Below are 15,133 nucleotides of genomic sequence, written 5' to 3'. Positions count from 1 at the left end.
ACAAGGAAAATTGCTCAAAGTGGACCAGAATGACTAAAGGCAGTTTCTCAAGTCTCCAAATAGCCCCTACTTACAAGGAGAGGGAAAATTTAACCTGTGACAAAAGGGATGCCGCTTACAAGACCAAAGAGAGACGCCTGAGTGCAGCAACACCACAGAGATGGGTCAGAGGTAAATGACCTGCAAGTCACACAAAGAGCCTCCCACTTCGGGGAGTGTTTAAAACAAAGGAAAAAAAGGACAAAGAAAGAGGCAAAACTGGCAGTACCCAGAGGGGCATTAAGCCCAACTCCTTGTATTATATGCTTTTCCGGAAAGAAAAAAAATTGACTGCTGAGTATTGCATTTCACCAGGGAAGGCTGCTTCTCTTGTTGTGGGCAAAGACCAAAGGAAGTTTATTTCATGTTATCCTCTCCTCTAGGAATAAAGTTAAGATAACACATTCAGTCAACATGCTCCCTTTCTTCATTTCTCTCTCTTTTTTTTTGAGACAGGGTCTCACTGTGTCACCCAGGCTAAGTGCAGTGGCACGATCTTGGCTCACTGCAGCCACAGCCTCCCAGGTTCAAGCAATCCTCCTGCCTCAGCCCCTGAAGTAGCTGGGACTACAGGCACATGCCACCACACCTGGCTAAGTTTTTGTATGTTTTGTAGAGATGAGGTTTTGCCATGTGGGCCAGGCTGGTCTTGAACTCCTGAGCTCAAGGCATCTGCCCACCTTGGCTTCCCACAGTGCTAGGATTACAGCCGTGAACCACTGCACCCGGCCTCTTTCTTTGTTTCTTAGTGGAATTACAGGATGAAGAACTGCTCATTCTGCTGACTAATTCTGTACCCTTTAGGTAAAGGTGCAGTAGCTATCCAAGCAGGGATTCCATTTTGCACCCAACATACAATGACCATGGCTCTCAAGTGTAGAAAAAAAGTGAGAAATGCCTCTCAAAGGATTGTTCAAAGTGGGCCTTTGAGGCAGGAATATGCAATCATGAAACAAAAACAGCCTGCAGAATACCACGAACACTTGAGCCTCATGAAGCTTCTCAGAGTGGAAGTCTCCCAGCAGGAAGGAGAAAGGAAGTTGGCTCAGCTGTTAGCCACAAACGGTGGGATCTGCTCATGGCCTGGTGCAAGGCCAGCAGCAGCAGTGGCAGGAGCAGGGCAGAAGCCTGGAAGGAGGAGGCGATTCCTGGCCAACCACAGGTAGGACATCACTGGCCTGCAGGGACTTAGCTCACCTATGGGTTCTTCAACTGGGACAAGGGACTTCAGGAAACTGAGCCAGAAAATCACTTGGTTCAGCTGGATCTCATAGGGCTCTTCTAGACTAAAGACAACAACATGGATTGACGTGGGATCATTTGCAGCAAAATAGTCATAACAGCAGAAATACACAGGATTTCCAGAGAACTCCCACACGCTGAAATCGCCAACTCCTACAGAAAAAGAAAAATGATAACAATCGTGAAACACCACTAACCAAATTTCAATCATAAATTCTCTTAGCGTTCCACGGATTCGAAGTAGGCATAGTGATACTTATGGCATTCTTCTGTATGTGTATACATCTTGTTATGACTTGGGTATGGTTTGTTCCCCACTAAAACTCATATTGAAATCACTCAGTGAGGTGATGTGGGAGGTGAGGCCTGGTGGGAGGTGTTTGGGTCCTAAGTGCAAATCCCTCCCAAATGGCTTGGTGCTGGTGGGAAGGAGTGAGTGAGTGAGTGAGTGTGTTCTTGCTCTTGTGAGAGTGGATTAGTTCTCATGGGAATGGATTAGGTCCTGAGAACGTGGATTGATGTAAAGCAGGTTTTTGTCCCTTCCCGTGTGTCCACTTACCCTTTGACCTTCTGTCACATTTAGACCCAGCTCAAAAGCTCTCACCAGAATCAAAGCAGATGCTGGTGCCACGCCCCTTGAACTTCCCAGTCTGCAGAGCCATGAGCTAAATGAACCGCTTTTCTTATCAATTACCCTGTCTCAAGTATTCTGTTATAGCAACACAAAATGAACGAAGACACACATCTACTGACGTGCAGATCGACTTGTGTCACGCGTACATATCTACAGCATGTATATCCATGTCTGTTTTTCTACTTATGTCTGCACCTGCTTAACTCTTTCCCTAAGTACCTTCATTATTATGTGTGTGTATATATGTATCTATATCATGACTACTTCTAATACCCTGGAGTGCTACACACACACAACATGCATGTACACATATATGTGCATGCCTGGGTGCTTACATGGAAATGTGTGTGTGTGTGTCTGTATACATATATATTTTGTATTACTCCCCCTCAAATATTGGTGTATTAAAAAAAAGAGAGAACCACCTGGGGAAAAAACAAAGATCCATCAGGTCATATTACGCAGAAGTGTGAACACCACATCCATAATAATAATGACACGGTTGTAGGCTCACATATCCTTAATACAGACACTCCACCTTCACTTGCAGAATTTACTCCTGACAAGGAAGGAGCCGGGGACAAACTGCCCACATTAGGTTTGTGATTCCCAAACTCACAAAGTCCCATAGAGGATTAATTGAGAGAAGGTGGGTGAAAAGATTTTGTGTCCTGAATAAATATACATGAATTTTGGAACGTGCCAGGGTATAGGATATTGAATGTAACAGTGACTATGAAAAGTCACCTGAATTTGGCTCAACAGGGACTGACTTGGCCAGGTGACTGAGGGCCCTGTCCAGGCTGCTCAGAAGAAGCAAGAAGCATGCAGGGGTGTGAGATGCAGAGCTCAGCAGTTCTGCCTACACAGGAGGTGCTTGGATCTGGGAGGAGGTGGGGTCCTTCAGGCAGGAAAGTGTCAAGCAGGGGTCAAAGGTTGTATGTGGGGGCAATTGCTTTCCCATACTGGAGCTGTGAAGGCTGCCCATTTCCCCAGAAATATCTGCAGATTAGATTCCACCTGGAGCTCCCAGGACTCCCGGAACCTCCAGTGGACCTGAGATGCCCCCTCTCTACACTGCCACATCCTGCCAGGACTGTGGCCGCCCACCACTGGCCTCTGGGGCGGCCTGGCCAGGGCCACTTCCATTACAGGATTTGAAGGCTCCCTTCACCTCGTTTACCCCTCAGTGCTTACTCTGTACCCAAAATCCTGCAGTCAAGATGCACTCTGAGATCTAAAGGGTTTTTCTCAGACTTGTAGTGAAGCAGGAGGGACCACCCTCCAAAGCTGGCTGCTTAGGCCAAGCATGGAAAGTTCTGGTACCCAGAAATTGGCTCTTGGAGTGTGGGGTCCTGAGGTGGGTTGCGGCTGGGGCTGTGAGAGATCAGATGGGAGCAGGGCCTGGGGTCCCAAGACAAGTTTCTCTTCTCTCTGTGCTGCCACAGCCAGCTCTGCTCTGGGGAGCTCAGAGGAAGCCCAACTTTTAAGAGAGCAAAATGCACACAGACCATGAACTCCCGCAATTTTTGCCCCTGGTGCAGGGGGACCCTTCACCCATGTGGGCCCTGAGATTAGCTGAGGGAGCTGCCTGGAGACTGCATGACAGTATTGCTCCAGAGAGGGAGCTCAGGCTGGCTCCCACGCACTCTCTGAGTCCGAAGCAGCTACAGTGCGGCACCATTTGTATGTTCCAAACACCCGTAGACTGCATCCTGCTCTGTAGCCCAATGGCCTCGGCATCTCTATATCCCTAGAGCCCCACTGACATCTCTGCCTGCAGCCACCACCTTGGCTGGCAGCTGCCACCAAGGTCTAGGCATAACCCATTGACAGAGACCCCACTGTCCCTAGCAGAGTAGTGGCTGTGCATTTTCATCTGCCCCAAGGACAGAATCCCCTGTCTGCAGCCACTGCTGCTGTGTCCACTGAGTCTAAAGTATGTGCAAATCATACACTCCCCAGCTGGCCGCATATGGCTGCTGACAGTGAAAGCAGGACCACTCTTCCCAGTAGCAGAGCCACAGTGCAGCCACTGCCTCCCTGACTCAAGCATTTTGCCAGAGGCTGGGGATCACATGCACCACCAGGGGACCTGACGACAGGCCTGCTGAGCTTGACTTCACAATCCCCTAAGAGCCTGAATATGCTGTCTGGGGACCTGGGGATCACCTAGCCCAGTCCACCACCACTGGCACCTGAGCACTCCTCTTAGTGGCCTGAGGTCACGCCCATCCAACCTACCACTATCATCACAGCTGGCACTCACCTGTATATGCCACCTGCAGGGCTAGGTACTGGCCTGCCTAGCCCATTGCAGCCACTGCCAACATCAGCACAGATTGCTTGGGAGCCAGAGGGCTGTCTCATTATGACTACTGCCATCACTCACACCACGCCTGCTGCCCAGGGAACTGAGAACCTGACTACCCACCTGGCCCACTGCTACTACTACCAGCACTTGAGCAAGCTGTCTGGAGGCCCAAGAATCAACCTACCTGGACCCACTAGTATCAGTACCAGCATATACCACCCTGGGGCCCAAGGACAGGCATGCTCAGCCCACCACTGCCACCACTAGGTTCTGAGGACTGGCCCACGTGGTATCCCCATCTCCAGAAAAACTTTACCACAGCCTCCACTAACAACCATACCCTAAGCCACTGAGAAAATTACAGGCACCACTGGAGCTGCTTACAGCTGAAAAAAAATCGTATGGCCACTATGCTACTGCATGCACCCAGAATCAAAGCCAAAGTGCCCTACTCAACCAACACCATAGACACATCTTCAGGAAAATGCCCTCCCCTATGAAAGCAAGTTCAAAAAGTTCAAAGAAGTGACTATTATACCGGATGCACAGATATCAATGTAAGGACACAAGAAACATGAAAAAGCAAGGAAATATTGCACCTCCGAAAGAGCACAATAACTCTCCAGCAACAGATTCTAATGAAAAATAAACCTATGCAATCTAAAAAAAGTACTCAGAATCATGACATTAAACAAGTTCAGTGAGGTACAAGAGAATCCAGAAAAACAATACAAAGATATCAGAAAAACAACTCAGAATATTATGAGAAGTTTACCAAAGAATCAAAATAGAAATTCTAGAATTGAAGAACTTCTTGAATAAAACAGAAAATTTATTCAAAAGCTGCAACAATAGACTAGATCAAGCAGAAGGAAGAATTTCAGAAATTGAAGACAGGTCTTTTGTAATAACCCAATCAGACAACATTAAAAAAATAAAAATAAAAAAATAAACAAAACTCTTGTGACATATGGGACACCATAAAGCAATCAAATATTCAAGTTTTTGGTGTCCCAAAGGTAAAGAGAAACTGAAGGAGATAAAAAATCTATTTATTAAAATAATTGTTAAAAACTTTCCAGGTTTGGCAAAAGATTTGGAAATCCAGATGCAGGAAGCTGTAGAGCTCTCCAAACAGATACAATCGAAAAAAGGTCCTCTCCATGGCACATTATAGTCCAATTGTCAAAAGTCAAAGACAAAGGGAAGTCTGAAAACAGAAAAAAAAAAAAAAAAAAAAAAAAAAAAAAAAAAAAAAAGTCTAGTCACTTACAAGGGAACGCCCGTCAGACTCACAGCAGATTTCTCAGCAGAAATTCTACTGGCCAGGAGAGAATGAAATGCTATATTCAAAGAACTGAAAGAAGGAAATTGTCAGCCAAGGATACTACAGACAGCAAAGTTATGCTTCATAAGTGAAGGAGAAATAAAGTCTTCCCCAAAAACAAGACAAGCTGGGGGAAGTGATCATCACTAGATCAAATCTATAAACAATGCTTAAAGGAGTTCTACACCTGGAAGTGAAAGGACAATTCTTTCATCATGAAAACACACGAAAGCATAAATCCACTGGTAGAGGAAACATATTAAGGAAGAGAAAGGACTCAAATATTACAACTACAGAAAGCCACCAAACCACAATGATAATGAAGGAGAAAGGAATAAAGAATATATGAAACAACAAAAAACCAATTAATAAAATGACAGGAATAAACCCTCACATATTAACAATAACCTTGAATGTATATGAATTAACTTTTCCACCTAAAAGATACAGACTGGCTGTTTGACTAATAAAACATGGCCCAACTATATGCTGCTGACAAGAAATCCATTTTATCTATAAAGATACATATAGATTGAAAGTAAAGGGATACAAAAAGATATTCCATGAAAATGGAAACCAAAAGTGAGCGAAAGTTGCTGTACTTATATCAGATAAAACAGACTTTAAGTCAAAAAAAAAAAAAGAAGGTCATTATATAATGCAAAAGGGATCAATTCAGCAAGAAGATATAACAGTTCTAAACATATATGTATCCATCACCAGAGCATGCAGATATTTACAGCAAATATTATTAGATCTATAGGAACAGATAGACTTCAATACAACAATATTTGGGGAATTCAACACCCCACTTTCAGCATTAGGCAGATTATACAGACAGAAAATTAACAAAGAAACACTGAATTTAAACTGCCTGTTAGACCAAGTGGACCTAACGGACATTTACAGAACATTTTATCCAACAGCTACAGAATACGCATTTTCTCATCAGCACACAGAACATTCTCCAGGATAGAACATATATCAGGACACATGAAAAGTCTCAACAAATGTAAAAAAAATTGAAATCATATCAAGTATCTCCTCAAACCACAGTGCAGTAAAACTAGAAATTGATAACAAGAGGAACTTTGGAAACTGTACAAATACATGGAAAGTAAACAACATGCTCCTGAATGACCACAGGGTCAAGAAAGAAATTAGGGGAGAAATTTAAAAAAATTCTTGAAACAAATGAAAATCAAAGCACAAGACCAAAACCTACAGCCAAAGCAATGCTAAGAAGGAAGTTTATAACAATAAACACCTACGTCAAAAAATCAGAAACGTTTCAAATAAACAATCGAATGATGCACCTCAAAGAACTAGAGAAGCAAAAACAAGCCAAACCACAATTTAGCAGGAGAAAAGAAATAATAAAGGTCAGAGAAGAACTAAACAAAACAGATACTAAAAAAATACAAAGAACTGATGAAATGAAAAATTGTTCTTTTATAATATAAACAAAATTGCTAAACCATTTGCTAGACTGACCTAGAAAAAAAGAGAGAAGACCCAAAAGAACAAAATGAGAAATGAAAAGTAAGGTATTACAACTGATGCCACAAAAATACCAAAGATCATCAGAGGTTATTATGAACAACTATACGCTAACTGGAAAATCTAGAGGAAATGGATAAATTCCTAGACAGATAATTTACAAAGATTGAATCAGAAAGAAATAGAAAACTAGAGCAGACCAATAATGAGTAATGAGATTGAACTGGTATTAAAAAGCCTCCCCAAAAAGAGAAGTCCAGGTTTGGATGTCAGAAGAACTAATGATTCTCCTCAATCTATTCCAAAAAAAACTGAAGGGGCAGGAGTTCTCCTTAATTTATTCCATGAAACCAGCATTGCCATGATAACAAAACCAGAAAAGAATGTAAAAACAACAACAACAACATCATCATCATTATAGGCCAAGATCCCTGATAAACACAGATGCAAAAATCCTCACAATATACTAGTAAACCAAATCCAACAGCACACAAAAAAGATGATACACCACAATCAGGGATGCAAGGATGAGTTGACATAATACACCACATCAACAGAAAGAACAAAAGCCATATCATAATCTCAACAGATGCCGAAAAAGCATTTGACAAAATTCAACATCCCTTCATGATAAAAGCTGTCAACAAACTAGGTATAGAAGGAACATATCTCAACATAATAAAGGCCATACATGACGAACCCATACCTCAACATAATAAAGGTCATACATGATGAACCCATAGCTGACATCATACTGAATAGAGAAAAGCTGAATGCTTTTCCTTTAAGATCTGAAATAAGACAAGAATGCCCCCTACATCACTCCTATCCAACACAGTACTGGAATTCTTAGCCAGAACAATCAGGCAAAGGGAAAGAAATAAAAAGCATATAAACTAGAAAAGAGAAACCCAAATTGTCCCTCTTTGCAAGTGATATGGTCTTATAACTACAGAAACCTAAAGACTCCACCAAAAAACTCTTAGATCTGAGAAATAAATTCATATTAAATAGGTAAAGTTGCAGGATACAAAATCAACCTACAAAAATCAGTAGCCTTTCTATACATCAAAAATGAACTAGCTGAGAAAGAAATCAAGAGGGCATTTCCATTTACAATAGCTGCAATAAAAATAAAATACTCAGGAATAAATTTAACCAAAGAGGTGAAAGACCCCTACAAGGAAAAGCACAAAACACAGACGAAAGACACTGAGAGGACACAAACAAATGCAAATACATGCTGTGGTCATATATTGGAAGAATCAACATTGTGAAAATGCTCATACTACTCAAGGCAATCTACAGATTCAATGCAATCCCTATCAAAATACCAATGTCATTTTTCACAGAAATAGAAAAGACAATCGGAAAATTTGTATGGAAACAAAACAGTGGCCAAACAGCCAAAGCAATCCTGAGTGTAAAGAACAAAGCTAGAGGCATCTCACTACTTGACTTCAAAATACACTGCAAGGCTATAGTAACCAAAACAGCATGGTATTGATATAAAAACAGACACATAGACCAATGGAACAGAATAGAAAACTCAGAAATAAATCCAGGTATTCATAGCCAAATAACTTGACAGAGGCAATAAGAACACATACTGGGGAAAAGAACACCCTTGTAAATAAACGCTGCTGGGAAAACAGAATATCCATATGCAGAAGAATGAAACTGGACCCCTGTCTCTCACCATATTCAAAAATCAACTCAAGATGGATTAAAGACTTAAATGTATACCCTAAATTATAAAACCAGTAGAAGAGGACAGGCTTCAGGACATTGGTCCTACAAAGATATTGTGGATAAAACCTCAAAAGCACAGGTAATAAAAACAAAAATAGACAACTTAGAGTGTATTAAACTAAACAGTTTTTGCACAGCAAAGGAAACAATTAACAGAGTGAAGAGACAATTTGTAGAATGGGAGATATTTTGCAAACTATTTATGTGACAAGGGATTAATATCCAGAATATACAAGGAACTCAAACAGCTGAACAGTAAAATAACAAACAATCCCATCAAAAAGTGGGCAAAGGTCTACAGTAACCAAAACAGCATGGTACTGGTACAAAAACAGACACATAGACCAGTGGAACAGAATAGATAACCCAGAAATAAAGCTGCACACCTACAGCCACCCAATCTGCGACAAAGTTGACAAAAATAAGTAATGGAGAAAGGACTCCCTATTCAATCAATGGCGCTGGGATAGCTGGTAAGCCACATGCAGAAGAATGAAACTGGATTCCCACCTTTCACCATATAAAAAAAAAATTCAAGATAAATTAAAGCTGTAAATGTAAAACCTCAAAACTATAAGAATCCTAGAAGAAAATCTAGGAAACACCATTTTGGATACTGACCTTGGGGAAGAATTTATAACTAAGTCCTCAAAAACAATTGCCAACAAAAACAAAAATTGACAGGTAGGACCTAATTAAAGAGCTTCTGAACAGTAAAAGAAATTGTCAACAGAGTAAACAGACAACCTACAGAATGGGAGGAAATATTCACAAACTATGCATCCAAAAAGGCATAATCTAAGATCCAGAATCTATAAGGAACTTAAAGAGTTGAACAAGTAAAAACCAAATAACCCCATTAAAAAGTGGGCAAAGGACACGAACAGACACTTCTCAAAAGAAGACATACAAGTAGCCAACAGACATATGAAAAAAAGCTCAACATCACTAATCATCAGAGAAATGCAAATCAAAACCACAATGAGATACCATTTCACACCAATCAGAATGGCTATTACTAAAAAGACAAAAAAACAAGAGATGCTGGTGAGGGCGTGAAGAAAAGAGAACACCTATACGTTGTGGGAATGTAAATAAGTTCAGCCACTGTGGAAAGAAGTTTGGAGATTTCTCAAAGAACTTAAAACTACTGTTTGACCCAGCAATCCCATTTCTGGGTATATATCCGAAAGGAAACAAATTGTTCCACCAAAAAGACACATGCACTAGTATGTTCATTGCAGCACTATTCACAACAGCAACGACACGGAGTCAACCTAGGCGCCCATCAATGGCAGACTGGATAAAGACAATATGATACATATACATCATGAAATACTATGAAGCCATAAAAAAGAAGAAAATCATGTCCTTTGCAGCAACATGAATGGAGCTGGAGGCTATTATCCTAAGTGAATTAACACAGGAACAGAAAACCAAATATGGCATGTTCTCACTTATAAGGGGGTACTAAACATTCGGTACTCATGGATGTAAAGATGGCAACAATAGTAACTGGGGACTACTAGAGGGGGTGGGAGGGAGGGATCATTTGTACCCTAAACCTCAGCATCATGCAATATGACCAGGTAACAAATCTGCACAGGGACCCCTGAATCTAAAATACAAGTTGAAAAAGAAAGGAAAACAAAAATGAGCAAGAACCTGCATAGAAATTTCTTAAAAGAAGACATACAAATGGCCAACAGGTAAATGAGAAAAATGTTCAATATCACTAATCATCCAAGAAATGCAAATCAAAACCACAGTGAGACACCCTCTTACACCAATCAGAATGGCTATTATTAAAAAGACAAAAAAAAAATAGCAGAAGCTGGCAATGATGCAGAGAAAAGAGAATTCTTATATACTGTTGGTAGAAATATAAATTAGTACAGTTATTATGGAAAATAGCATGGAGATTTCTCAAAAAGACTAAAAATTGAGCTAACATATGATCTAGTAATTCCACTACTGTGCATTTTTCCAAAGGAAAGGAAATCAGTATATCAAAGGGATACGTGCACGCCCATGTTTACTTCAGCACTATTCACAATAGCAAAGATACGGAATTGACCTAAGTGTCCATCAAGGAACAAATGAATAAAGAAAACGTGGTATACACATAACAGAACACTATTTATGCACAGACATAAAACAGAATGAAATCACGTCATTTGCAGCAACATGGATAGAACTGGAGGTCATTATGTTAAGTCAAATAACCCAGGCACAGAAAGATAAATACTGCATGTTCTCATTCACATGTGGGAGCTAAAAAAGTTGATTTTATGGAGGTAGGGAGTAGAATGATAGATACCAGAGACTGGGAAGGCTGTGTGTGTGTGTGGAGAGGGGAATGAAGATAGGTTGGTTAATGGGTACAAACATGCAGTTAGATAGAAGAAATACATTCCAGTGTTCAATAGCAGAATAGGGTGACTATAGTTAACAATGCGTTGTATTTTTCAAAATAGCTAGAAGAGAGGACTTGAAATGTTCCCAACACATAGAAATGATAAAAACTCAAAGTGACGGACACCTCACATAATGTGACTTGATCATTACATACACATTCTATACACGCAATGAAATATCACACGTACCCCATAAATATGTACAAATATTATTAATTTACTCCACAGTCATTTATCAAGCACTTACTGTATGCCAAGTGCTTTACTAGGCGCTGACAATACCCCAGTGTTTAATTTCACTGTTTAGGGATGGTAGCCAGCCATGCTTCAGTCCTGGCTCACTCTGAATATCAGTCTGTGTTGGATTTCCTTCTGGAAGTGACAGATACAGCTCAGGACAAGCTCCCTTTAGGGATGACTTACAACCCTGTTGAAGGGAAACCTGAGGTCCTTCCCTTGGGGCAGGCAGGGCATACCATTCAAATAAGCGTTCTGGATGTCGATGGCCTTGGTGGACTGGTCATCGGCCGAGCAGTGCGGGTGGTGGGTCGGGGCCACAAACACCTCCAGCATCCCTTTGGTAAGACCCGGCTCGAACATCATGCTGCGGCTCCTCACACTCACGTTCTCGCAGCCTGGGTACAGGTTGTTGATGCTCACTGAGACTGCAGGATGGAAAGGATCACATGAGTACTCGATGGGGGCAGCGTGTGCCTGTCTCCCTCCCAGGCTGGCCCTGAGGTTTCCTTTTCTGGAGCACGCCTCTGTCCCCACCCCAACTCTGGCTTCAGGCTGAGTGTGTCTGCCCTCACACGTGCAGGGCAGCAGTGTTCCCAGCAAGGCTGTGGGCTTTTCCGCTTGCTCTACCTCCCCACAACCTTTTCTGCCCCGCCCTGTTGCCCGGGTGGCTGGTCCTAGGGATTGTGTCTCTAGGCTGGCTTGCCATGTGATTTCTGCTTAGGGTCAGCCAACGGGAGGCTGTGGAGAGGGTGGGAGGGCAGAGGTCGGGTTTCTTCCCTTCTCACTTCCTGCTACTTTGCTGATACTCGCAGTCTCTGTCTTCCTCCAGCTCCCACTGAGCGACTTCTCTCTCTTGCACATGAGATTATTATTGCAGGTTAAATGGAAAATGATTTCAGACAGTAGCAGGCCATAGCATTAAATAATGCTGAATCACACACTGTGAAAGCTACTCCTTTTTGAAATTCCCTTGAAGGCCTTTCAGTTGTTCTTGCAGCGAGTCTCCACTTGAGGCCTTCCGATTTTAGCATTTCCTCAACACCTGCTCATCTTCCCTTTTAATGAAGAGGGTGTGGGCATTGGCGTTTAGCGGGATTTTATTCACATTGGTTGCTGTTCACTGCATTTATTTTTACTTATGGCAGTGACACTGGGTTCCCATTTATGATAGGGATATTAACTTTCATTTTCAAATCAATGTATTTTAGTACATTTTAAAAAGTGAGTCAGTTTAAAGGAAACATTATGTAAACAATGGTGAACTTGTGGGTGTTGTACGGGAGCTGAATAACAGAGTCTGGGTCCCCTGCGTTTAGGCATAGAGCCTGTGCTTCCTCACTGTCTCAGTTACTCACTGGCCTGCCCTGCTCCCCGTCTCTCCCACCAGGCTTGTGCAGGCAGAAGCTGCCTTTCTGGTCAGGGCTGTGACCCAGGGCCCACAGAGAGTGCTCTGTAAGAACTTGGTGAACGAATTGCATTGGAGAAGGGATTCATTGATCTTAACTGCAGTACCATTGGTTTACCATTAATACAATAGACATTGCGAGGCACTAAAGAAGTGACCATTTCACCTGGGTATCTGACTTTAAAACAGGCGATCCAAACACCAAGGTAATCCCTTACTTAAAGACCAAAGAGTTAAGACTTTGGACATGGATAATGGGGGTATCCAACGGAGGGGATGAGGAGAAGAAAAGTGGATCCTAAGGGCAGGATTAGGTACAGGGAAAGGAGAAAGGGCACTAGGAGGGCAAGATTTATTCTTAAAAACACCAACACATATTCTATTTCTGTAGGAAAGTTGGCAGATAGGAATGTAAATAGAAAACAAAAGCAAAATGATGTAAGTCTTGATGTCAACATAGCTGCCATTTTAGTGTATTTCTCTGCATATTGTTAATCCCAGCCTGCAAAAGCTGCTGGGTTGCCCAAGAATGGGTCTGTCCACTTCCCTGTGACCTGGAATTTGTGTCTGGGTGCCTGCCTGTCAGGAACAAGCCTTCTTTTAGTGGCATGTGGCCCTGTGCTTAATGAGAGCAGACGTTGGTAAATGGCAGTCATTCCTGCTCCTCGGTGACAGTTTTCGTTGGGAGGATAAAAGGTTAGGACAGGCTTTGTACAAGGTGTTATGAAAACAATAATTTCATGGGGAAGCACCGAAATCCCAGGAAATCATTTTTGTTAGCTACTGCCCCCTGGCGGTGTAACGTGACGGCTCCCAGGAGACCCACTTTACCTGGTCACCGGGAATTCCTCCCGCAGGCTCCTCTCCGCGGGAATAGGAATGGCTTCTTCAAATACTCTTCCTGGACATTCATGCCTCCTATGACCTTGGATGTTTTCCTTCCCACAGCTCAACAGCCACAACCCTCAGTGTCCCCACAGCTGAGTGATGTGTGCAACAGAAAACTTCGAGGGGACCCCGTCCGGTCTCCTGGCTGGGAGCTCAGCCTTGGCCTCCAGCGTTCTCAAGAGAACGGCAGTGGAAAAGGGCCAAAATTCTAAAAGCAAACTTCTTGCTGTCTGATGATATAAATGTTGCCATGTAGGCATCTCTCTCATTGAAGGGAAAAGGGCCTGACAATTCTAGGAGAGGTCACTGGTGTCCAGAGCCCTGGCCTGAAAGAGACCCCAGCACGGCCTGCCAGGCACGAGCAGTGCCCCCTGGCAGGTGACAGTGTTGCTGCTTCAGGAACCAGGCCCAGTCCCTGGAGGCATGCTCAGGAGCGGCAGTTCCTCGGGTGTCTAACAAAGCCACGCTGCTCCGTTGGCCCCCAACACACATACCCTCTGCCAAAGTCCAATCTCCCCAGGCCGCCCTCGCGGTGCCCTGTGCTTGTGCCCTGCTCTGCATTTCCCGGGCGCTGTCTGATGCTGATGTACAAGCTGTGAGGGCAGCAAGTGCCTGGTGACCCGCCCAGTCCAGGGATGGGGGCATCTTGTCTGTCTCATCCACCTCCAAGTCCAGCTGCCGAGCTATGCCTCCTGCCCAGGGATCCCTCAGCCACCAGGCTTCAGGGGCAACCACCAGCGCACACTTCCTCCACCAGGGGCAGGCGGCACTGACTGTGGGGGCCCAGGGACCAGGACAGCTGCCTCCTCCCCAGACCCCACGGCTGGGCTGAAAGCAGCTGGTGTGCCTGCACCTTAGGGCTCTCATGCAGAGGGGCTTCTGCCCCCGCGCCAGGACCCCCTCCCCGATCCCTGGCTAAAGATGCTCCCCCCATGGTGGGGCGTGCAGAAAAAGGGTCACCCAGAGCCACCCTTCACCAGGAACCTGCTGCAAAGACCAGACACAGATACTGAGGAGAAGCAAGGCCATGGATACCTCACCTCTGAGGCCAAGGGCAGAGCCACAGGTGACTCCCAGGACTCCACAATGGGGGCTCCTGGGCATCATCTGCACACCCACTTAGGCCTTGCAAACTTTCCAGATCATGAGCTCATGACCTCTCTCTCTCTCTCATATCCCACCCTCCTAACCACAGAGGTTCAGGCTGCAGTGCCCTTAACCACAGCAGGAGCGTGCTGCCTCCCTCTAAGGGAGCAACTGAACCCCACTTAAATCCTCAACTAGAGCAGAAATCACACTGGAGGCCAGGTGCGGTGGCTCACGCCTGTAATCCCAGCACTTTGGGAGGCCGAGGCAGGTGGATCACAAGGTCAGG

At 43.6% G+C, this 15,133-nt stretch overlaps 1 protein-coding gene across 8 annotated transcripts in view, besides 1 other annotated feature; it reads right to left on the bottom strand.

The window, feature by feature from the left end:
- DAPK1 (death associated protein kinase 1) overlaps positions 1 to 15,133 on the bottom strand; it is a 211,407-nt gene that overhangs the window by 10,194 nt on the left and 186,080 nt on the right. For 7 of the 8 annotated variants that reach the window (NM_001288731.2, XM_047422887.1, XM_047422886.1 and 4 more), the window contains 2 exons: positions 11,702 to 11,890; positions 1,237 to 1,434 (listed from right to left, as the gene is read on the bottom strand). In NM_001288731.2, coding sequence (NP_001275660.1) covers positions 1,237 to 1,434; positions 11,702 to 11,890 — 387 coding nt within the window. Of the gene's footprint in view, positions 1 to 1,236; positions 1,435 to 11,422; positions 11,598 to 11,701; positions 11,891 to 15,133 lie in introns of those variants that run through there. The other variant, XM_005251757.5, reaches the window with a different exon arrangement.
- Positions 4,262 to 4,480: a silencer, noted in NCBI's record as "fragment chr9:90308876-90309094 (GRCh37/hg19 assembly coordinates)". NCBI's record gives its function as "represses an EF-1alpha promoter that drives an FKBP-Casp9 reporter gene in an ReSE screen in K562 erythroleukemia cells {active_cell/tissue: K562}" and the evidence as "EXISTENCE:reporter gene assay evidence [ECO:0000049][PMID:32094911]".

Source organism: Homo sapiens, chromosome 9, assembly GCF_000001405.40.
Source record: "Homo sapiens chromosome 9, GRCh38.p14 Primary Assembly".
Taxonomy (NCBI): domain Eukaryota; kingdom Metazoa; phylum Chordata; class Mammalia; order Primates; family Hominidae; genus Homo; species Homo sapiens.
This window is presented reverse-complemented; position numbering and strand designations above follow the sequence as displayed.